Source organism: Homo sapiens, chromosome 19 (genome assembly GCF_000001405.40).
Source record: "Homo sapiens chromosome 19, GRCh38.p14 Primary Assembly".
Lineage (NCBI taxonomy): Eukaryota > Metazoa > Chordata > Mammalia > Primates > Hominidae > Homo > Homo sapiens.
Genome location: NC_000019.10, coordinates 16,479,061 through 16,502,141, shown reverse-complemented (window position 1 = coordinate 16,502,141; position 23,081 = coordinate 16,479,061). Strand labels below are relative to the sequence as shown.

The window sequence follows — 23,081 nt, the reverse complement described above, 5'->3', positions numbered from 1 at the left end:
GGTCAGGAGTTGGAGACCAGCCTGATCAACATGGAGAAACCCTGTCTCTACTAAAAATACAAAATCAGCCGGGCATGGTGGTGCATGCTTGTAATCCCAGATACTCAGGAAGGCTGAGGCAGGAGAATCACTTGAACCTGGGAGGTGGAGGTTGCGGTGAGCTGAGATCACGCCACTGCACTCTAGCCTGGGCAACAAGAACGAAACTTGGTCTCAAAAAAAAAAAAAATACAAAAAAGTAGCCAGTCACCGGCCGGGCATGGTGGCTCATGCCTGTAATCCCAGCACTTTGGGAGGCTGAGGCGGGCAGATCACCTGAGATCGGAAGTTCAACACCAGCCTGACCAACATGGAGAAACCCCATCTCTACTAAACACATAAAATTAGCTGGGCGTGGTGGTGCATGCCTGTAATTCCAGCTACTCGGGAGGCTGAGGCAGGAGAATCACTTGAATCTAGGAGTGGAGGTTGCGGTGAGCAGAGATCGTGCCATTGCACTCCAGCCTGGGCAACAAGAGCAAAACTCCATCTCAAAAAAAAAATTAAATTAAATAAATTAAAATAAATTTACCAAAAAAAAAAAATCTCACCGAAAATAGTTTTCTTTCTTCTTCCTCGCTGACGTTAGCGCTGCTGAAGCCTTGATTCGTGTTTTTTTCTCTAGAAGAGTCCATCAAGCTTCCTAGCAATACTTTCATTTCTTCTTCGTCACTGTCTGGAGAATCAAATGTTCTAGCAGGTTCTTTCTGTTTGGGGGTTTGCAAAGTCCTCTCTTTCCCAGCAGGTGCTTCAGGGGATATGTTTTCAACAGGTGCTTGTTTCTTCTTTAGAAACCTACTGACCTTCGCGTTCTGTGCATTATTTTCGGTGACAGGAAGTTCACGGGCTTGATTCTGGGAAGTTTTGTCTGTGTTCTGGGACGCGAGTTCGAGTGCACCCCCAGAGAGGATTCTGTCAGCTCTCTTTGGAAGACCAGCATCGGCGGTCATTGAGTCAGATTCCGTGTCAGACAAATTCCTCTGCAGCTTCCGATTCATGATCCGGGTTTCCAGCTGGGCCAGCTTCATGAGTGCGGCATTGGCTCGGATCCTGGAGGCAGTGGTGGGCGGTCTACATGAGGCAAGCCTGGGTCCACTCCCGAGCACAGGGTTCTCTTTCAGGAGTAAGTGTTTCTCATCTAGAGTTTGGTTTCTTTTTAGAAATCTGCTATGACCAGGTGCTATTTTGGTAAGATTTCTACTGATCTGGAAGTTTCTGATTTCTTCCATTGTTGAATCTTCCAAGGAAACATCACTGAAGTCACCAAAAACATCACGCATGGGACGGCTGGCTTTCCTTGCAGAAGCCATTCTGTGGAGGAAGAGGAGCAATTTTGCATAAGAGTACCTGCTGTTTGTATTGAGCATTCAATGGCTCCTACTTGGCAAAAGCTCACACTGTCTTTTGCAACCCAGCCACAGTCTTCCCTTCAAGCCCAAGGATGACAATGAAAATGACCAGGCTGGGTGCAGTGGCTCACACCTGTAATCCCAGCACTTTGGGAGGCCGAGGCAGGTGGATCACGATGTCAAGAGATTGAGACCATCCTGGCAAACATGGTGAAACCCCGTCTCTACTAAAAATACAAAAATTAGCTGGACGTGGTGGTGCACAACCTCTCAGGCTCAAGTGATCCTCCTGCCTCAGCCTCCTGTGTAGCTGGGACTACAGGTGCACACCACCATGCCTGCCACTGCACTCTAGCCTGGGCTACAGAGTGAAACCCTGTCTAAAAAAAAAAAAAAAGAAAAAGAAAAAAGAAAAGACAAATTACCTGAAAGAGCAATAAGGTGACGTGTGAAAATCGAGGTATCCCTGTATTTAACAAGCCCCCAGAAAATCAGATTTCACTTAGTGTAAGAACCATTACCAATGGCTGGGCTCAGTGGCTCACACCTATAATGCCAGCAGTTTAGGAGGCCAAGGCAAGCAGATCACCTGAGCCCAGGGGTTCGAGACCAGCCTGGCCAACATGGCAAAGCCCCATCTCTACTAAAAATACAAAAATTAGTCAAGCGCCAGGCGTGGTGGCTCATGCCTATAATCCCAGCACTTTGGTAGGCCGTGGTGGGTGGATCACGAGGTCATAAGTTCAAGACCAGTCTGATCAACATGGTGAAACCCCGTCTCTACTAAAAATACAAAAATTAGCCGGGCCTGGTGGCACCACCTGTAGTCCCAGCTACTTAGGAAGCTGAGGCAGGAGAATCGCTTGAACCCGGGAGGTGGAGGTTGCAGTGAGCCGAGATCACACCACTGCACTCCAGCCTGGACGACAGAGCGAGACTCTGTCTCAAAAAAAAAAGAAGAACCGCTACCCTGGGAAAGAGGGGGGCTATGGACAGGCACAGCTCCCCAGCAGGCCAGCAAATCTTTACCGTATGTGTATATTTTTCTAGGTAGAAATATCAGAGCTTTCATCATATTCTCAGAGTTCCCATATACCCCTGAAAGAGTATGAACAACCCACTGCAAGACTTACAAAGGCTTCCGAAGATTACAAAGACTTTAAAAGATGAAAAACTACAGGCCGGGTGCGGTGGCTCATGCCCGTAATCCCAGCACTTTGGGAGGCCAAGGCGGGTGGATCACGAGGTCAGGAGATCGAGACCACGGTGAAACCCCGTCTCTACTAAAAATACAAAAAAATTAGCCGGGCGTGGTGGCGGGCGCCTGTAGTCCCAGCTACTCCGGAGGCTGAGGCAGGAGAATGGCATGAACCCGGGAGGCGGAGCTTGCAGTGAGCCGAGACTGCGCCACTGCACTCCAGCCTGGGTGACAGAGTAAAACTCCGTCTCAAAAAAAAAGAAAAAAAAAAGATTCTATACAAGAATGAATTATGATTCCTATTAACAATCTGTTTCCCGAATAAACTTGTTTGCTTGTTCCTATCTTAACTACCCTGTACTAGGAGTGCCCAGCACAGGACTGACCACAGGGGTCAGAGAACAGAAAAATATGCCTGGCAGAAATAATGCAGACTTCCTGGTCTGTGTGACCCCGGGCAAGTTACTTAATCGCTCTGTGTCAGCCTGCTCATCTGTAAAAATAACAATTACTACCCTCATAGGATTCCTATATATTCTGTGTGGGACATGAAAAAGTGCTCAGTAACATTTAAATGCCAGTAACAGACTAGGCGTGGTGGCTCACGCCTGTAATCCCAGCACTTTGGGAGGCCGAGGTGGGCGGATCATGAGGTCAGGAGATAGAGACCATCCTGGCTAACACAGTGAAACCCCGTCTCTACTAAAAACACAAAAAATTAGCCGGGCGCGGTGGTGGGCGCCTGTAGTCCCAGCTACTCAGGAGGCCGAGGCAGGAGAATGGCATGAACCCAGGAGGCAGAGCTTGCAGTGAACCGAGATCGCGCCATTGCACTCCAGCCTGGGCAAAAGAGAGAGACTCCGTCTCAAAAAAAAAAAAGAAAAAAACCATGAGGAGCTACTACTTCACATCCCCTAGCATGGCTATAATCAAAAATACACGTAACAAGTGTCAGTGAGGAAGTGAACAGATTGAAGCCCACAGTGGCTCACACCTGTAATCCCAGCACTGTGGGAGGCCAGGATGGGAGGACTGTTTGAACCCATGAGTTCGAGACCAGCCTGGGCAACATAGGGAGACTCCATCTCTACAAAAAATGAAAAAATTAGCTGGGTCTGATGGCACACACCTGTAGTCCCAGTTACTCGGGAGGCTGAGGTGGGAGGATTGCTTGAGCCCAGGAGTTTGAGGCTGCAGTGAGCTATGATCGTGCCACTGGACTCCAGCCCGGATGATAGGGCAAGACCCTATCTCTAAAAAAAATAAAGAAATTGGAACCCTCATATGTTGTTGGGGGAATTGTAAAATTATGTAGTCCTCAATGTGGAAAACAGTTGGTTCCTCAAAAGGTTAGACATAGAGTTACCATGTGATCCAGGGATTCCACTCCCATGTGGCCCAAGAGAAATGCAAATGTATGCAAATGTTCGTAATAGTTTTGTTTTGTTTTGAGACAGGCTCTCACTCTGTTGCCCAGGCTGAGTGCAGTGGTGTTATCATGGCTCACTACAGCCTCGACCTCCCGGGGTCACGCGATCCTCCCACCTCAGCTTCCTGGGTAGCTGGGACTACAGACACACATTGCCATGCCTAGCTAACTTTTTGTAGAAACAAGGTCTCACTGTGTTGCCCAGGCTGTTCTCAGATTCCTGGGGTTCTAGAGATCCGCAGCCTCAGCCTCCCAAAATGCTGAGATTACAATCCCACATCATCATACCTGGCCCCATAATATTTATTACTCCTAGTAGACTAAAACGGAAAACAATGTAACTATCCATTAATTAGTGAATGGATTACAAACTATGGTCCATCCATACAGTGTAATACAGTTCAGCAATTTAAAAAACAAATACTAATATAACAGCACGCAGGAATCTCAAATACATCACGCTAAGGGAAAGTAGCCAAGCCGGGCGCAGTGGCTCACGCCTGTAATCCCAGCACTTTGGGAGGCTAAGGCGGGCGGATCACGAGGTCAGGAGATCGAGACCAGCCTGACACACATGGTAAAACCCCGTCTCTACTAACAATACAAAAATTAGCGGGGCGTGGTGTCATGCGCCTGTAATCCCAAATACTCAGGACGCTGAGACAGGAGAATTGCTTGAACCTGGGAGGCGGAGTTCGCAGTGAGCCGAGATCGCACCATTGCACTTCAGCCTAAGTAACAGAGCGAGAATCTGTCTCAAAAAAAAAAAAAAAAGGAAAGAAAAAAGAAAGTAGCCAGACACTAAACTCCACACACCCTATCATTTCATTTGTAAGAACTGTCAAGAAAAGGCAAACCAATAAACTCAGAAAGCAGATCGGGCCGGTGCTGTGACTCACGCCTATAATCCCAGCACTTTGGGAGGCCAAGGCTGGCAGATTACGTGAGGTCAGGAGTTCGAGACCAGCGTGGCAAACATGGTGAAACCCCATCTCTACTAAAAATACAAAAAATTAGCCGGAGTGCAGTGGCATGATCACAGCTCACAGCAGCCCTTGACCTCCTGGACACAAGCAATCCTCCCTCCTGCCTCAACATCCTGAGTAGCTGGGACTACAGGCGCGTGCCACTACACCTGGCTAATTTTTTATTTTTATCTTTTTTAGAGATGGGGTCTCGCCAGGTTGCCCAGGCTGGTCTGGATCTCCTGGCCTCAAGTGATCCTCCCGCCTCTGCCTCCCAAAGTGCTGGGATTCCAGGCGTGAATCACCGCGCCCGGCCTGACGCAAAGTTCTAAAGCTGGATGAGCTGGATGGTGGCGACGGCTTCACAACTTTGTAGATTTACTAAAAATAACGGAGTCGTCAGCTTAAAAGTGGCGAACACTATGGTATGTAAATGAAGGCTCAATAAAGTTGTTACAAATCAACAAACCAAAACTTGAAAACCCTGGCGCCCCTGAGACCATCCTGCTCTTCTCCCCAGCTATGAAGCGACCCGCGCAGGACCATGCTCCAATAGACCCCAGACAGGGAAACTGAGGCGCGGGACCATCCTGCAGCGGCCCAACCAGCTCAGCCCCGGAGAAGGCCCCATTTCCCCGTATCCCCCTCGCGAGCCCGGACGCCCAGCTAGGTCACCTCCCCACCAGCCCTGCCGACCTCTTCCCACGCCGTCCATTCGCAGAGGCAGCCGCCACATTCACGCCTGAAGGAGCGGTTGCCCTGGGCAACAGAGCCAGAGCAGAAGAGACTACATCTCCCGGGAAGCACCGCGCCCCGCAGACCAATGGCGCCCCGAATCACAATCGCGGGGTGTCATGGGAGCGGTAGTTCCGGGGCGGGCCCAACGTGCCCCGCGCCGCAGCGACCAATGGGACCCTCAGGTCATAATCGCGAGTTGTGACGGGAGTTGTAGTTTCGGGACGCGCCTGAAGAGCCGCAGAGAGAGCTGGGAGCTAAGGGGTGGCGGCGACCGGAAGCGCAGTGCACACCCCCATGGCCCGGGCTTTGGTCCAGCTCTGGGCCATATGCATGCTGCGAGTGGCGCTGGCTACCGTCTATTTCCAAGAGGAATTTCTAGACGGAGGTGAAGGGGCCACGCCCGTGGTGGCGGAGGTGTAAGCTCCCCCATCTCCGCCCCCTAAGGCTGGCCAGAGTCGCCACGGGGTCCACGGCAGCGAACCCTCGAATCCTCGAGGGTCCCCTTCACCCTTCCCTTAGCCCAAATTAACCATTATCACCTCTAACCGGTGTTATTTCCCCTTCCCCACAGAGCATTGGAGAAACCGATGGTTGCAGTCCACCAATGACTCCCGATTTGGGCATTTTAGACTTTCGTCGGGCAAGTTTTATGGTCATAAAGAGAAAGATAAAGGTTAGTGTAGAATCAGGACCAAATTGAGCCTAATGTTACATTTCCATAGCAACCTCTCTAGGTAGTTGTGGCACAGCCAAAACGCTTTTATTCCCGTTTTACAGATGAAGACATTAAGGCAAAGGTAGAACTTAAGGGGCTCCTTTCCTTGTTTTTTTGTTTCTTCTCTCCTTTTTTTTTTTTTTTTTTTTTGAGACGGAGCCTTGCTCTGTTGCCCAGGCTGGAGTGCAGTGGCGCGATTTCGGCTCACTGCAACTTCCACCTCCCGGGTTCAAGCAATTCTCCTGCCTCAGCCTCCCGAGTAGCTGAGACTACAGGCGCGCGCCACCATGACCGGCTAATTTTTGTACTTTTAGTAGAGACAGGGTCCACGTTGGCCAGGCTGGTCTCGAACTCCTGACCTCATGATCCACCCACCTTGGCCTCCCAAAGTGCTGGGATTACAGGCATGAGCCACAACATCCAGCCTCCTCTCTCCTTTCTTTATTGCCAAAGATTCCTTTTTTTTTTTTTTTTTTTTTTTGGTAGTAGGAGTCTCGCTCTGTCGCCTAGGCTAGAGTGCAGTGGCACGATCTTGGCTCACTCAAACCTCCGTCTCCCGGGTTCAAGTGATTCTCTTGCTTCAGGCTTCTGAGGAGCTGCGATTACAAGCGTGCGCCACCATGCCCTGCTAATTTTTTTAGAGACAGAGTTTCACCACATTGCCCAGGCTGGACTCAAACTCCTGGCCTTAAGTAATCCACCTGCCTCGGCCTCCTAAAGTGCTGGGATTATAGGCGTGAGCCATGGTGCTTGGCCTATTATCATTATTATTACTTTTATTGGTATTAGGTCCCCTGAAGTCCAAGGAGACATATTCAGCTTATTTGGTATAATAAAATCATACTTGAAGCACTGTCAAATATGCAATGGTATTTAACCTTCTTTGGATTATATTTATATGAATGTGTTATTAGTAGGCATTACCAAAATTGCCCCTCTTAATAGACACTAGTCAAGTGCATTTGAGGATCAAGGGCCATGCCCCTCAGAAGGAAAAGGTTAGTGGGTACTTTTTCTCATTTTAATTTTCGTATTAAAAAGAAAAATAGGCCAGGCGCGGTGGCTCATGCCTGTAATCCCAGCACTTTGGGAGGCCTTAGGCGAGCGGATCATGAGGTCAGGAGTTCAAAACCAGTCTGGCCAATACGGTGACACCCTGTCTCTACTAAAAATACAAAAATTAGCTGGGTGTGGTGGCTCATGCCTGTAGTCCCAGCTACTCGGGAGGCTGAGGCAGAAGAATCACTTGAACCCGGGAGGCAGAGGTTGCAGTGAGCAGAGATCATGCCCCTGCACTCCAGCCTCAGTGACAGAGTGAGACTCCATCTCAAAAAAAAAGAAAAATATGGTCAGGCACGGTGGCTCACGCCTGTAATCCCAGCATGTTGGGAGGCCAAGGCAGGCGGATTACTTGAAGTCAGGAGTTTGAGACCAGCCTGGTCACCATGGTGAAACCCTGTCTCCACAAAAATACAAAAAAGTTAGCCAAGTGTGGTGGCGCACAACTATAATCCCAGCTAATTGGGAGGCTGAGGCAGAAGAATCGTTTGTACCCAGGAGGCAGAGGTTGCAGTGAACTGAGATTGTACCACTGCACTCCAGCCTGGGTGACAGAATGAGACTCCATTTCAAAAAATAAAAGAAAAAAATACAGAGATAAACATTACATCTTGTCGCCTGCACATTCTTCAGGGTACAACACAATGAGCTTTTACTTTTGTACAGGCAGGTCAAGATAAGGCAAGCGAATCACTTGAGGTTGAGACCAGCCCGGCCAACATGGCGAAACTCCGTCTCTATTAAAAATACAAAAATTAGCTGGGCATGGTGGCACACATCTATAATCTCACCTACTTCAGAGGCTGAGGCAGGAGAATCACTTGAACCCAGGAGGCGGAGGTTGCAGGGAGCCAAGATCATGCCACTGCACTCCAGCCTGGATAACCGAGCAAGACTCTGTCTCAAGAAAAAAAATATATATATATACAAATATTAGCCGAGCATGGTGGCATAGGCCTGTAGTCCCAGCTACTTGAGAGATTGAGGCAGGAGAATCACATGAACCCGAGAGGCGGAGGTTGCAGTGAGTCGAGATCGTGCCACTACACTCCAGCCTGGGCAACAGAGCAAGACTCTGTCTCAAAAAAAAAAAAAAAAAAAAAAAAATTCTAGCTTCAAGAGAGCTAATTCAAGCTCAAAGTTTAAGGACAACTGTGTGGAAAACACAGATCCCAAAGAATAGAAGTCAGTGTTCTGAAGTGTAGAAGTTTGGGATCATTTGTATAGACAAAGTTTAGAGAAGCTTAACAGAATTTCAGCATCTTTCTAGGCAAGGCTTGATAGATAATGACCATGATCCCATTAGTCAAGGTGGTCTTTTTCTTTTGAGAAGGTATATTTAACATTTCACCCTGAAGATGTAACAGTCACGGCATCTTTTGTGCCATCTGGTCTGAGTTAGGTACAGGTCAGTCCTGGAGGCAGTTAATCTGTAACTAAGGTCAGTGGTCACAAATAGAGGAGGCCTGGTCTCTGGTTTGTCCTAGTCATTTGCCAAACAAGAACAATGAGGAAGAAGGTTTATCTATGATTTAAGAAGCAGAGGTTACACCTGCATGCTGCATGACTCAGATCACACAACTTGCTCAAGGTTTTTATTTATTTTATGTATTTATTTGAGAGAGAGTTTCACCCTTGTTACCCAGGCTGGAGTGCAATGGCGTGATCTCTGCTCACCACAACCTCCGCCTCCCAGGTTCAAATGATTCTCCTGCTTCCAGCCTCCCAAGTAGCTAAGATTACAGGCATGTGCCACCACACCTGGCTAATTTTTTTTTTTTTTTTTTTGAGACGGAGTCTCGCTCTGTAGCCCAGGATGGAGTGCAGTGGCGCGATCTCGGCTCACTGCAAGCTCTGCCTCCTGGGTTCACGCCATTCTTCTGCCGAGTAGCCGGAACTACAGGCGCCTGCCACCACGCCCGGCTAATTTTTTGTATTTTTTTTTTTTTAGTAGAGACAGGGTTTCACGTGTTAGCCAGGATGATCTCGATCTCCTGACCTCGTGATCCTCCCGCCTCGGCCTCCCAAAGTGCTGGGATTACAGGCATGAGCCACCGCGCCCGGCCTAATTTTGTATTTTTAGTAGAGACAGGGTTTCTCCATGTTGGTCAGGCTGGTCTCCAACTCCCAACCTCAGGTGATCCGCCCGCCTCGGCCTCCCAAAGTGTTGGAATTACAGGCGTGAGCCACTGCGTCTGGCTTATTTATTTTTTTAAACGGAGTTTCGCCCTGCCACCCAGGCTGGGGTGCAATGGCTCCTCCATCTCCCAGGTTCAAACAGTTCAGCTGCCTGAGCTTCCCGAGTAGCTGGGACCACAGGCACGCGCCACTACGCTCGGCTAATTTTGTATTTTTAGTAGAAATGGAGTTTCCCCACGTTGGCCAGGCTGGTCTCGAACTTCTGACTTCAAGTGATCCACCCGGCTCAGCCTCCCAAAGTGTTGAGATTACAGATGTGAGCCACCATGCCTGGCCTCTCAAGGCTTTAAATTGTATTTGCTTTCACATATGTGAAAGTTTAGGCCAGGCACAGTGGTTCACACCTGTAATCTTAGCACTCTGGGAGGCCAAGGTGAGTGGATCACTTGAGGCCAGGAGTTCAAGACCAGCCTGGGCAACGTGGTGAAACCCCATCTCTACTAAAAATATGAAAATTAGCCAGGCATGGTGTCGCACGCCTGTAGTCGCAGCTACTCAGGAGGCTGAGGCAGGAGAATCGCTTGAACCTGGGAGGCGGAGGTTGCAGTGAGCAGAGATTCAGTCTGGGCAATAGAGCGAGCCTCTGTCTCAAAAGAAAAAAGAAAAGAAAGAAAGAAAGTTTAGTGTCCATTAAGTTTCACTGGAACACAGCCACATCCATTCTTTTTTTTTTGGAGACGGAGTCTCACTCTGTCACCCAGGCTGGAGTGCAGCGGTGCAATCTCGGCTCACTGCAACCTCCGCCTCCTGGGTTTAAGCGATTCTTCTGCCTCACTCTCCTGAGTAGCTGGGACTACAGGCACATGCCACCACACCCCGCTAATTTTTGTATTTTTAGTAGAGATAGGGTTTCACCATGTTGGCCAGGCTGGTCTCAAACTCCTGACCCCGTGATCCGCCTGCCTCAGCCTCCCAAAGTGCTGGGATTACAGGCGTGAGCCAGCATGCCTGGCAGTCCATTCATTTATATATTGTCTATGGCTGCCTTTTATGCTGAAAAGGCAGAGTAGAATGTTTAGGAAAGGGACCAGTCGGGCACGGTGGCTCACGCCTGTAATCCCAGCACTTTGGGAGGCCGAGGCAGGCGGATCATGAGGTCAGGGGATCGAGAACATCCTGGCTAACATGGTGAAACCCTGTCTCTACTAAAAATACAAAAAATTAGCTGGGTGTTGTGGCCAGCGCCTGTAGTCCCAGCTACTCGGGAGGCTGAGGCAGGAGAATGGCGTGAACCCAGGAGGTGGAGCTTGCAGTGGGCAGAGATCGTGCCACTGCACTCCAGCCTGGGCGACAGAGCGAGACTCCATCTCAAAAAATAATTAATTAACTAATTAAGAACAGTGGTATATTAAGAACAAAAACTTCCAGGTGTGTGAAATAAAAGTTGTATGGGCCAGGCACGCTGGCTCACACCTGTAATTCCAGCACTTTGGGAGGCTGAGACGGGCAGTCACCTGAGGTCAGGAGTTCAAGACCAGCCTGACCAACATGGAGAAACCCTATCTCTACTAGAAATACAAAAATTAGCCTGGCGTGGTGGCTAATTGTAGTTGTAATCCCAACTACTCAGGAGGCTGAGGCAGGAGAATCACTTGAACCCGGGAGGTGGAGGTTGCAGTGAGCCGAGATCACGCCATTGCACTCCAGCCTGGGCGACAGAGTGAGACTCCATGTCAAAAAAAAAAAATTATATAGAAGCAGAGTGCCTGCTAGTGGTCTACCCATTATGCATTATTGTATAATGCTCTGTTGGCACTGTAGATCACTGTAAATGGTTAGGACATTTATGTTTGGGAGTAAGGGAAGGACATCGATTTAACTTCCTGCGTTACTTAGCGCAGCGTCATTCCTGATCCTTCATGAGTATATTTTGTTCAAAGGTCTGCAAACCACTCAGAATGGCCGATTCTATGCCATCTCTGCACGCTTCAAACCGTTCAGCAATAAAGGGAAAACTCTGGTTATTCAGTACACAGTAAAACATGAGCAGAAGATGGACTGTGGAGGGGGCTACATTAAGGTCTTTCCTGCAGACATTGACCAGAAGAACCTGAATGGAAAATCGCAGTACTATATTATGTTTGGTGAGTTTACGTGGTGCAACACAACCACTTCTAGTGACTTTGAAAACCCTCCCACTTCACAGGATCTTTAGACTAAGACTTTGCTAATGTAGTGAAGGTAGTAGTATTGAGTATATCGGATCCAAGGTTTGTAGTAGTATTGAGTGTATCGGATCCAAGCACTATTAAGCCTAATTAATATAAAAAGGCAACTGTACCAGTCTGTTGTGTTCCTGAAGAAGTTATTTATTCACCATTAATGTTGCCCTCATGCAGGGTAAGGATACCTTATCTGAAATGTTTGGGACCAGAGTGTTTTGGATTTTGGAAATTTTTTTTGGATTTTGGATTATTTGCATTATCCTTACTGGTTGAACAACGCTAATCTGAAAAATCTGAAATCCACAATGCTCTGATGAGCATTTCCTTTGAGCATCATGTTGATTCTAAAAGTTTTGGGTTTTGGAACACTTCAGATTTGCGATTTTTTGATTTGGGATGCTCAACCTGTGTAGTTTTTTTGTTTGTTTGTTTTTGTTTTTGTTTTTGTTTTTGTTTTTGTTTTTGTTTCGAGCCCGAGTTTTCACTCTTGTGAACCAGGCTGGAGTGCAATGGCAATGGCTTGATCTCGCCTCACTGCAATCTCCGCCTCCTGGGTTCAAGTGATTCTCCTATCTCAGCCTCTTGAGTAGCTGGGATTACAGGCATGTGCCACCATACCTGGCTAATTTTTTTGTATTTTAGTAGAGATGGGTTTTTTTTTTTTTTGAGACAGAGTTTCGCTCTTGTTGCCCAGGCTGGAGTGGAATGGCATGATCTCGGCTCACTGCAACCTCCTCCTCCCAGGTTCAAGGGATTCACCTGCTTCAGCCTCCCAAGTAGCTGGGATTACCGGCATGCACCACCATGCCCAGCTAATTTTTGTATTTTTAGTAGAGACGGGGTTTCTCCATGTTGGTCAGGCTGGTCTTGAACTCCCGATCTCAGGTGATCCGCCCACCTCAGCCTCCCAAAGTGCTGGGATTACAGGCGTGAGCCACTGCACCCGGCCAAGATGGGGTTTCACCATGGTGGTCAGGCTGGTCTCGAACTCCTGGCAGGTATCGAACTCCTGACCTCAGGTGATCCACCCACCTTGGCCTTCCAAAGTGCTGGGATTACAGGCGTGAGCCACCACGCCTGGCCTCAACCTGTGTTTTGAATCCTTCAGTACTCAGTAAACCTTGGCCGTGGGCCAAATTGGCCCACTGCCTGTGTTTATATAACCTGTGAACTAAAAATGTTTTTTACGTTTTTAACTGGTTGGAAAAAATCAATACAAGATGATATTTTGTGATACATGAAAATTATATGAAATTTAGATTTCAGTGTGCATAAATGAAGTCTTACTGGAATGCAGCCTCACTCTGTTCATTTATATGTTGTCTGTGGCTGCTCGCCAGTACCAGTGGCAGAGTTAAGTTGTCATGACAGAGATCATTAGGCTTACAAAGCCAAAAATATTTTACCATCTGGCCTTTATAGAAAAAGCCTGCAAACCTCTAGAAAATATTAAATGTCTCCTGACAACAGGGGTACTTGATTAAAATTTGTGCTAGAACTGGGAAGGGACCACACTGGGCCACAGGAAATAGACCTAAGTATAGTGTAACTTAAAACTTTAATAATAAATGTACCTCAGGCCGGGTGTCGCGGCTCACACCTGTAATCTCAGCATTTTGGGAGGCCAAGGTGGGCAGATCACTGGAGTTCAGGAGTTCAAGACCAGCCTGGCTAACATGGTAAAACCCTATCTCTACTAAAAATACAAAAAAAATTAGCCGGGCATAGTGGCACATGCCTGTAGTCCCAGGTACTCAGGAGGCTGAGGCAGGAGAATTGCTTGAACCTGGGAGGTGGAGGTTGCAGTGAGCCGAGATCTCACCACTGCACTCCAGCCTGGGTAACAGAACGAGACTCCATCTCCAAAAAAAGAATGAATGTACTTCCAAAATATTCATCCTCAGCTGGGCACAGTGGCTTATGCCTGTAATCCCAGCACTTTTGGGAGGCCAGGCAGGAGGATTACTTGAGTCCAGGAGTTCGAGACCAGCTTGGCCAACATAGTGAGACCCTGTCACTACAAAAAATAAAAATTAGGGCTCTGTGCGGTGGCTCACGCCTGTTATCCCAGCACTCTGGGAGCCAGAGGCGGGCGCATCACCTTAGGTCGGGAGTTCGAGACCAGCTTGACCAACATGGAGAAACCCCGTTTCTATTAAAAATACAAAATTAGAGCCGGGCGCGGTGGCTCACACCTGTAATCCCAGCACTTTGGGAGGCCGAGGTGGGCAGATCACGAGGTCAGGAGATTGAGACCATCTTGGCTAACACAGTGAAACCCCGTCTCTACTAAAAATACAAAAAATTAGCCAGGTGTGGTGGTGGGCACCTGTAGTCCCATCTACTCGGGAGGCTGAGGCAGGAGAATGGCCTGAACCTGGGAGGCGGAGCTTGCAGTGAGCTGAGATCACGCCACTGCACTCCAGCCTGGGCAACAGAGTGAGACTCCGTCTCAAAAAAAAAAAAAAAAATTGAAAATTAGCTGGGCGTGGTGGCGCATGCCTGTAATAATCCCAGCTACTCAGGAGGCTGAGGCAGGAGAATCACCTGAACCTGGGAGGCAGAGGTTATGGTTAGCCGAGATTGCACCATTGCACTCCAGCCTGGGCAATGAGAGCAAAAATCCGTCTCAAATAAATAAATAAATAAATGATACAAAATACAAAATAAAAATAAAAATAGAACTAAAAAACACCCAGATATCTGAAACATCAAGGGAGGATCACTTGAGCCCCGGAGTTTGAGACCAGCTTGGGCAATATAGCAAGACCCCATCTCTACAAAATGTTTTTTTTTTTTTTTTTGTGGAGACACAGCTTCGCTCGTCGCCCAGGCTGGAGTGCAACGGCACGATCCCGGCTCACTGCAACCTCTGCCTCCCAGGTTCAAGCGATTCTCCTACCTCAGCCTCCCAAGTAGCTGGGGTTACAGGTGCCCACCACCATGCCCAGCTAATTTTTTTGTATTTTTGTAGAGACGGGGTTTCACCATGTTGGACAGGCTGGTCTCGACCTACTGACCTCAGGTGATCCACCCACTTTGGCCTCCCAAAGTGCTGGAATTACAGGCGTGAGCCACCACGCCTGGCCCCATCTCTACAACAATTTTAAAAATTAACCCAGTGAGGTGGCGCACCCCTGTGGTTCTAGCTACTCAGGAGGCTGAAGCAGGGGAATCCCCCGAGCCGAGGAGTTTGAGGATGCAGTAAGCTATGATCACACAACTGCACTCCAGCCTGGATGACAGAATAAGACCCTGTCCGAAATAAATAAATAAATAAATAAAGACCCCTATATAGCATGTGTCTACTACATCTGAATTGCCAAGCAGCATAATTTGGGGTCAAAAAAAGATTAAAATAAATTTTTCTTAGTATTTCAGTTTTTAATTCAACAGTTCCATTTTACTCAAACCCACTCTGTTACTATTGGGACACTTTGTTGCAATGAGTCAGCGCCAGCCATTAGTGTGAGGGGAGCTTGCTGAGGGTGAGGGGTTAAGGAGGAGGACAAGGGAAGCACAGTTATTGTCAGTCTTGACATTTGCATGAATTCCTATGCATAAGTTATGCATAAAACCTCAGACAGGCAACACAGAGCCCATCTGTCTACATTTCCTCATGAACATCCATTACATGTGTAAATACCTTTTTTTTTTTTTTTTTTTGAGATAGAATCTTGCTCTGTCACCCAGGCTGGAGTGCAATGGTGCAATCTCGGCTCATTGCAACCTCCGCCTCCCAGGTTCAAGCCATTCTCCTGCCTCAGCCTCCCCAATAGCTGGGATTACAGGCGTGTGCCACCATGGCTGGCTAATTTTTGTATTTTTAGTAGAGGTGGGGTTTCACCATGTTAGTCAGGCTGGTCTCGAACTCCTGACCTCGTGATTCACCCGCCTCAGCCCCCCAAAGTTCTGGGATTACAGCCGTGAGCCACCATGCCCAGCCCACACTTTTTTTTTTTTTTTAATTGAGACGGAGTCTCGCTTGGTCACCCAGGCTGGAGTACAGTGGCCCGATCTCAGCTCACTGCAACCTCCACTTCCTGGGTTCAAGTGATCCCCTCACCTCAGCCTCACAGGTCCCTGGGACTACAGGGACACGCCACCACTCCCAGCTAATTTTTGTATTTTTAGTACACACGGGGTTTTACCATGTTGGCCAGGCTGGTCTCAAACTGGCCTCAAGTCATCTCCCCACCTTGGCCTCCTAAAGTGCTGGGATTAGCAGGCCACTTTGAATATTTAAATAAGCTTCAGAACACACTCAAAAGTGAGTGGAAAGCCAGGACATTGTCCTTTAACAACAATAATAAGATATTCACACATGTGACCAGATGCAGTGGCTCACACCTATAATCTCAGCACTTTGGGAGGCCAAGGCAGGCAAATCACTTGAGGTCAGGAGTTTGAGACCAGCCTAGCCAACATGGCAAAACCTGTCTCTACTAAAAACACAAAAATTAGCTGGGCCTGGTGGTACATGCCTGTAATCACAGCTATTCTACTCGGGAGGTTGATGCAGGAGAATCACTTAAACCCGGGAGGCGGAGACTGCAGTGAGCCAAGATCCCACCACTGCACTCCAGCCTGGGCGACAGAGTGAGACTCTGTCTCAAATAAATAAATAAATATCTTAGTGTGAATATCTGATTATATGTAAGAAGAATGGACTGCACGTGGTGTTTCAAGCCTGTAATCCTAGGACTTTGGGAGGCCGAGGCAGGTGGATCACAAGGTCAGGAGTTTGAGACCAGCCTGGCCAGCATGGTGAAACCCCATCTCTACTAAAAATACAAAAATTAGCTGGGCATCGTGGCATGCGCCTGTAGTCCCAGCTACTCAGGAGGCTGAGGCAGGAGAATTGCTTGAACCCAAGAGGCAGAAGTTTCCGTGAGCCAAGATCACTGCACTCCAGCCTGGGTGACAGCAAGACTCCGTCTCAAAAAAAAAAAAAGAATGGTTGTGGGTTGGTTATTCTACGGTGATGCATTATGGAAAGAAATTGAGAGCAGCTAATCTTTTTTGTAGGACCCGATATTTGTGGATTTGATATCAAGAAAGTTCATGTTATTTTACATTTCAAGAATAAGTATCACGAAAACAAGAAACTGATCAGGTGTAAGGTAACTGCTCTTGTATTCAAATAAATGAGTGTTAACTCCTGCCAGACTAAGTTTAGAAAAAATAGTTTTGATAATAAAATACTTAACTGAGCCAGGGATGGGTCTTTGTAGACATACCTCCTGTTTCCAGTTTCCAGTTTAGGGGGCCCATTGGAGATACTTCTCTCCTTTAACTGGTTTCCTGAAGTTTTTACCCCATCAGGAGGGCACTCTCATTTTTTACTGTGAGCTATGACATGTCATCATTTGCCCTATGAGGGTTACAATAGTACAGTCACATTTCAGCCACATCCATCCTCATTAATGAATGAAATATTCAGGATGAAAAAAACATTCTGGAGAAATGTCTGGGTGCAGTGGCTCACACCTGTAATCCCAGCAGTTTGGGAAGCTGAGGCAGGAGGACTGCTTGAGCCAAGGAGTTCAAGACCAGCCTGGGCAACATGGCGAAATCTTGTCATGACAAAAAATACAAAAATTAGCCAGGTGTAGTGCCAGGAACCTGTGGTCCCAGCTACTGGGGAGGCTGAGGTGGGAGGGTCACTTGAGCCTGGGAGGTCAAGGTTGTAGTGAGCTCTGATTGCACCACTGCACTCCAGCCTGGGTGACAGAGCAAGACCCTGTCTCAAAAAAATAAAAATAAAAATAAACTGCATATTTAGACTTGCATTAAAACATCGAGAGTTGGCCGGGCGTGGTGGCTCATGCCTGTAATCCCAGCACTTTGGGAGGCTGAGGCAGGTGGATCACCTGAGGTCAGGAGTTCGAGACCAGCCTGGTCAACATGGTGAAACTCTGTCTCTACTAGACACAAAAAATTACCCAGGCATGGTGGCAGGTGCCTGTAATCCCAGCTTCTCAGGAGGCTGAGGCAGTAGAATCGCTTGAACTCAGGAGGTGGAGGTTGTAGTGAGCCGAGATTGTGCCACAGCGCTCCAACCTGGGCGACAGAGTGAGACTCCATCTCAAAAAAAAAAAAAAAAAGAAAAGAAAAGAAAAAAGAAATTGAGGATTTAATTGTTACGCTTTTCCCCCTAAAATATGCAGGTTGATGGCTTCACACACCTGTACACTCTAATTTTAAGACCAGATCTTTCTTATGATGTGAAAATTGATGGTCAGTCAATTGAATCCGGCAGCATAGAGTACGACTGGAACTTAACATCACTCAAGAAGGAAACGTCCCCGGCAGAATCGAAGGATTGGGAACAGACTAAAGACAACAAAGCCCAGGTGTGAATTTTTCCTGGGCAACTCTAAAAAGTGCACAAATGTAGTTTGTAAGTACCCAGTTACTGGACAATTGCTGCATGGCTGGTAGCCACGATGGCAATATTATAGAACCAAATGCCCTCCCCAGAGCACACACTGCAGACCAGCCACATCTCTACACATCTGAAGGTATCGTAAAACATTTATTTATTTACTTATTTATTTATTTTTTGAGACAGAGTTTCGTTCTTCTTGCCCAGGCTGGAGTGCAGTGGCGTGATCTCAGCTCACGGCAACCTCCGCCTCCCAGGTTCAAGTGATTCTCCTGCCTCAGCCTCCCGAATACCTGGGATTACAGGCACCCGCCACCATCCCTGGCTAATTTTTGTATTTTTAGTAGAGATGGGGTTTCACCATGTTGGCCAGGCTAGTCTCGAACTCCCGACCTCAAGTGATTTGCCTGCCTTGGCCTCCCAAAGTGCTGGGATTACAGGTGTGAGCCACCACATCTGGCCATCACCATCACTTTTTGCACCATCATTTTTCACTCTAGCCACTACTTGAGGTTTCCACACCGCTGCTCCTCTCCATAGCATGCAGGAAAGGGCTAAAGTCATATGGCAGGTTAGGGAGAAAAATCTAGGCAGTGTGGTGTTGCCCTGAAGTCCTCAGTGGGATTGGAAGCACCAAGCACTTGGCCTCCTGACCACCAAACTGAAGAAGGGAGAGGGACACTGGGACAGGGGTCACCAGCCTGTGCCTGCCACTTGGCATCTAATAATTTCCTTTCTCAAATCTGAGCATCTGGCTGGGTGTGGTGGCTAATGCCTGTAATACCAGCACTTCCAGAGGTCAAGGCAGGAGGATCGCTTGAACCCAGGAGTTCGAGACCAGCCTGGGCAACAGAGGGAGACCCTGACTGTACAAAACATAAAAATAGTAGCCAGGTATGATGGCGGGCGCCTGTAGTCCGAGCTACTTGGGAGGCTGAGGCAGGAGGATCACTGGAGCCCAAGAGGTTGAGGCTGCAGTGAGCCATGATTGCACAACCGCACTCCAGCCTGGGTGAGAGCAAAACCTAGTCTCAAGAAACAAAAACAGAAGCAACAACAACAAATATATGAGCATCTGACTGATTTTACTTTTTCCTTACATGTCTTTGAAGGACTGGGAGAAGCATTTTCTGGACGCCAGCACCAGCAAGCAGAGCGACTGGAACGGTGACCTGGATGGGGACTGGCCAGCGCCGATGCTCCAGAAGCCCCCGTACCAGGTGTGTGGCCTCTTTGTATGATGCCAGGGATGCCCCAGGGCTGCCCCTCCGCTGCCCATGTCATTGAGACCACCCCATATGGTTTTTTTGATACAGGATGGCCTGAAACCAGAAGGTATTCATAAAGACGTCTGGCTCCACCGTAAGATGAAGAATACCGACTATTTGACGCAGTATGACCTCTCAGAATTTGAGAACATTGGTGCCATTGGCCTGGAGCTTTGGCAGGTCATTTGGTTTTAACTTTACTTTAGATTTTTTGCGTGTGTGTGTTTTGTTTTGTTTTGTTTTGTTTTGTTGAGACAGGGTCTCATTCTGTCACCTAGGCTGGAGTGCAGTGGCACCATCCTAGCTCACTGTAGCCTCAAACTAGGCCCAAGCGATCCTCCCACCTCAGCCTCCCAAGTAGCTAGGACTACAGGCACAAGCCACCACATCCAGATTTTTTTTTTTTAAGAAATGGGAGTCTAGGCTGTGCGCGGTGGCTCACTCCTGTAATCCCAGCACTTTGGGAGGCTGAGGCGGGTGGATCACAAGGTCAGGAGATCGAGACCATCCTGGCTAACATGGTGAAACCCCGTCTCTACTAAAAATACAAAAAAAATTAGCCGGGCGTGGTGGCGGGCGCCTGTAGTCCCAGCTACTCGGGACGCTGAGGCAGGAGAATGGCGTGAACCCGGGAGGCAGAGCTTGCAGTGAGCTGAGATCGGGCCACTGCACTCCAGTCTGGGTGACAGAGCAAGACTCCGTCTCAAAAAAAAAAAAAAAAAAAAGAGATGGGAGTCTCAGAACTTCTAGGCTCAAGCAGTCCTTCCACCTCAGCCTTCCAAAGTGCTGAGAGTTTTGTTTGTTTTTTTGTTTTAATGCTTTGGTGATCCCAGCTGGGCTCAGTGGCTCATGCCTGTAATCCCAGCACTTTGGGAGGCTGAGGGGGGCAGATTGCCTGAGCTCAGGCGTTTGAGAGCAGCCTGGGCAACATAGTGAAACTTCGTCTCTACTAAAAATACAAAAATTAGCTGGGTGTGGTGGTGCGTGCTTGTAGTCCCAGCTACTCAGGAGGGTGAGGCATGAGAATAACTTAATCCTGGGAGGAATCACTTGAACCCAGGAAGTGGAGGTTGCAGTGAGCCAAGATCGCGCCACGGCACTCCAGCCTCCGCAACAGAGTGAGACTTCACTTCATCTCAAAAAAAAAAAAAAAAAAAACAGAGCGAGACTAAGTCTCAAAAAAAAAAAAAGTTTTGGTGATCCCGATGTGCAGCCACGTTTAAGGAACCAGTGCCTTAGAGGGAAAGGATATTCTAGAAATGGGTTTAAGCACCACCTACTATTCTAATTGCTGTTATAGTATACACTACTGAGCAAAATACAACTGTTTCTTTTTGAAAAGTTGTTACATATGTCACATCAATAATGAAGGCCTAGTAGCCAGGGACAGTATGGCTCACGCCTGTAATAGTCCCAGCTACTGGGGAGGCTGAAGTGGGACCATCACATGAGCCCAGTTCTTTTTTTTTTTTCTTTGAGACTGAGTCTCACTCTGTCACCCAGGCGGGAGTGCAGTGGCACGATCTCAACTCACTGCAGCTTCTGCTTCCCGGGTTCAAGCGATCCTCCCACCTCAGCCTCCCAAGTAGCTGGGACTACAGGCATGCACGACCACACCTGGTAATTTTTGTATTTTTAATAGAGATGGGGTTCACCGTGTTGGCCAGGCTAGTCTTGAACTCCTGACCTCAAGTGATTCACCTGCCCCAGCCTCCCAAAGTGCTGGGATTATAGGTGTGAACCACCACGCCTGGCCAAGCCCAGAAGTTCAAATCCAGCCTAGGCAACATAGCAAGACCCCATCTCTAAAAAATAAAAAATGTCACCTGAGCTTCATGTATTTCCAAAGGAAAAAAGAAATGAAAAATAAACAAATAATAAAGAATAAAAGCATAATAATGAAGGCCTTATTTTCATCTGCAGGTGAGATCTGGAACCATTTTTGATAACTTTCTGATCACAGATGATGAAGAGTACGCAGATAATTTTGGCAAGGCCACCTGGGGCGAAACCAAGGTATGAAGCACGTGATTAACTCTTCCTACATCACTATTTCATTTGTGTAAATTTTTTTTTTTTAGATGGAGTCTAGCTCTGTCACCCAGGCTGTAATGTAGTGGCATAGTCTCGGCTCACTGCAACCTCCACCTCCCGGGTTCAAGCGATTCTCCTGCCTCAGACTCCCAAGTAGCTGGGACTACAGGCGCATGCCACCACGTCCGGCTAATTTGTGTATTTTTAGTAGAGAGGGGGTTTCACCATATTGTTCAGGCTGGTCTCGAAGTCCTGACCTCAGGTGATCCACCTGCCTTGGCCTCCCAAAGTGCTGGGATTACAGGAGTGAGCCACTGTGCCTGGCCCCATGTAAGGTTAATATTGGCAGGTTCCAGGGATTAGGACATGAATTTTTTTTTTTTTTTTTTTTTTTTGAGACGGAGTCTCGCTCTGTCGCCAGGCTGAAGTACAGTGGCGTGATCTCGGCGCACTGCAACCTCCACCTCCCGGTTCAAGCGATTCTCCTGCCTCAGCCTCCCGAGTAGCTGGGACTACAGGCACCTGCCACCACACCCAACTAATTTTTGTATTTTTAGTAGAGACGGGGTTTCACCATATTGGCCAGGATGGTCTCGCTCTCTTGACCTCATGATCTGCCTGCCTCGGCCTCCCAAAGTGCTGGGATTACAGGTGTGAGCCACCGCGCCCAGCCAGGACATGCAATCTTTACAGGTTCTTCTTATTCAGCCTATCCTAGGTGGTGAGGAGGCTTCTAGAAGGCAGGGTCTGCCTGAGTACTGACATGCATTTGGCCACATGGAAGCATAACCCCTGGCCTCTGGGGCTTTTTTTGTTTTGTTTTGTTTTGTTTTGTTTTGAGACGGGTTTTGCTCTGTCACCCAGGCTGGAGTGCAGTGGTGCCATCTCGACTCACTGCAACCTCCGCCTCCTAGGTTCAAATGATCCTCTCACCTCAGCCTCCCGAGCAGCTGGGACTACAGCCACACACCACCACGCCCAGCTAATTTTTGCTTTTTTTTTTTTTTTGAGACAGAGTCTTGCTCTGTCGCCCAGGATGGAGTGCAGTAGAGTGATCTCAGCTCACTGCAAGCTCTGCCTCCCAGGTTTAGGCCATTCTCCTGCCTCAGCCTCCCGAGTAGCTGGGACTACAGGCGCCCACCACCACGCCTGGCTTTTTTTTTTTTGTATTTTTGGTAGAGACTGTGTTTCACCGTGTTAGCCGGGATGGTCTCGATCTCCTGACTTCGTGATCCATCTGCCTCGGCCTCCCAAAGTGCTGGGATTACAGGCACGAGCCATCGCACCCGGTGGGGCTTATGTTTTTTCTTTCTTTCTCCAGGGTCCAGAAAGGGAGATGGATGCCATACAGGCCAAGGAGGAAATGAAGAAGGCCCGCGAGGAAGAGGAGGAAGAGCTGCTGTCGGGAAAAATTAACAGGCACGAACATTACTTCAATCAATTTCACAGAAGGAATGAACTTTAGTGATCCCCATTGGATATAAGGATGACTGGTAAAATCTCATTGCTACTTTAATCTATGTTTCAAACTCAAA

General features: G+C 48.1%; 2 protein-coding genes across 7 annotated transcripts in view, besides 5 other annotated features; one reads left to right on the top strand and one right to left on the bottom strand.

Annotated features, from left to right (window-relative positions):
* The window catches only part of C19orf44 (chromosome 19 open reading frame 44), a 24,959-nt gene extending 19,211 nt beyond the window's left edge, over positions 1-5,748 (bottom strand). For all 6 annotated transcript variants that reach the window (NM_032207.4, XM_006722920.5, XM_011528354.4 and 3 more), the window contains exons 1-2: positions 5,677-5,748; positions 591-1,350 (exon numbers count right to left, since the gene is read on the bottom strand). In NM_032207.4, the coding sequence (NP_115583.1) occupies positions 591-1,349 (759 nt within the window). In that variant the 5' untranslated portion in view covers position 1,350; positions 5,677-5,748. The remainder of the gene's footprint in view (positions 1-590; positions 1,351-5,676) is intronic.
* Positions 5,646-6,075: an enhancer, noted in NCBI's record as "active region_14236". NCBI's record gives its function as "activates an Ori minimal core promoter by ATAC-STARR-seq in GM12878 lymphoblastoid cells {active_cell/tissue: GM12878}" and the evidence as "EXISTENCE:reporter gene assay evidence [ECO:0000049][PMID:35858748]".
* Positions 5,646-6,210: a biological region, named in NCBI's record as "H3K27ac hESC enhancer GRCh37_chr19:16606743-16607243".
* Positions 5,710-6,210: an enhancer, noted in NCBI's record as "H3K27ac hESC enhancer chr19:16606743-16607243 (GRCh37/hg19 assembly coordinates)". NCBI's record gives its function as "activates a minimal SCP1, AML or CMV promoter by ChIP-STARR-seq in naive H9 embryonic stem cells {active_cell/tissue: H9 hESC(naive)}" and the evidence as "EXISTENCE:reporter gene assay evidence [ECO:0000049][PMID:30033119]".
* CALR3 (calreticulin 3) lies at positions 5,975-23,081 on the top strand. Its single transcript, NM_145046.5, has 9 exons — positions 5,975-6,103; positions 6,290-6,391; positions 11,572-11,775; positions 16,885-16,979; positions 18,027-18,212; positions 19,357-19,464; positions 19,561-19,692; positions 21,436-21,528; positions 22,868-23,081. Exons 1-9 carry the CDS (start codon positions 6,013-6,015, stop codon positions 23,009-23,011), a joined length of 1,155 nt encoding a protein of 384 aa, NP_659483.2. The 5' UTR covers positions 5,975-6,012; the 3' UTR covers positions 23,012-23,081.
* Positions 6,211-6,711: an enhancer, noted in NCBI's record as "H3K27ac hESC enhancer chr19:16606242-16606742 (GRCh37/hg19 assembly coordinates)". NCBI's record gives its function as "activates a minimal SCP1, AML or CMV promoter by ChIP-STARR-seq in naive H9 embryonic stem cells {active_cell/tissue: H9 hESC(naive)}" and the evidence as "EXISTENCE:reporter gene assay evidence [ECO:0000049][PMID:30033119]".
* Positions 15,230-15,524: a silencer, noted in NCBI's record as "tiled region #3003; HepG2 Repressive DNase matched - State 8:EnhW". NCBI's record gives its function as "represses a minimal TATA promoter and a strong SV40 promoter by Sharpr-MPRA in HepG2 cells {active_cell/tissue: HepG2}" and the evidence as "EXISTENCE:reporter gene assay evidence [ECO:0000049][PMID:27701403]".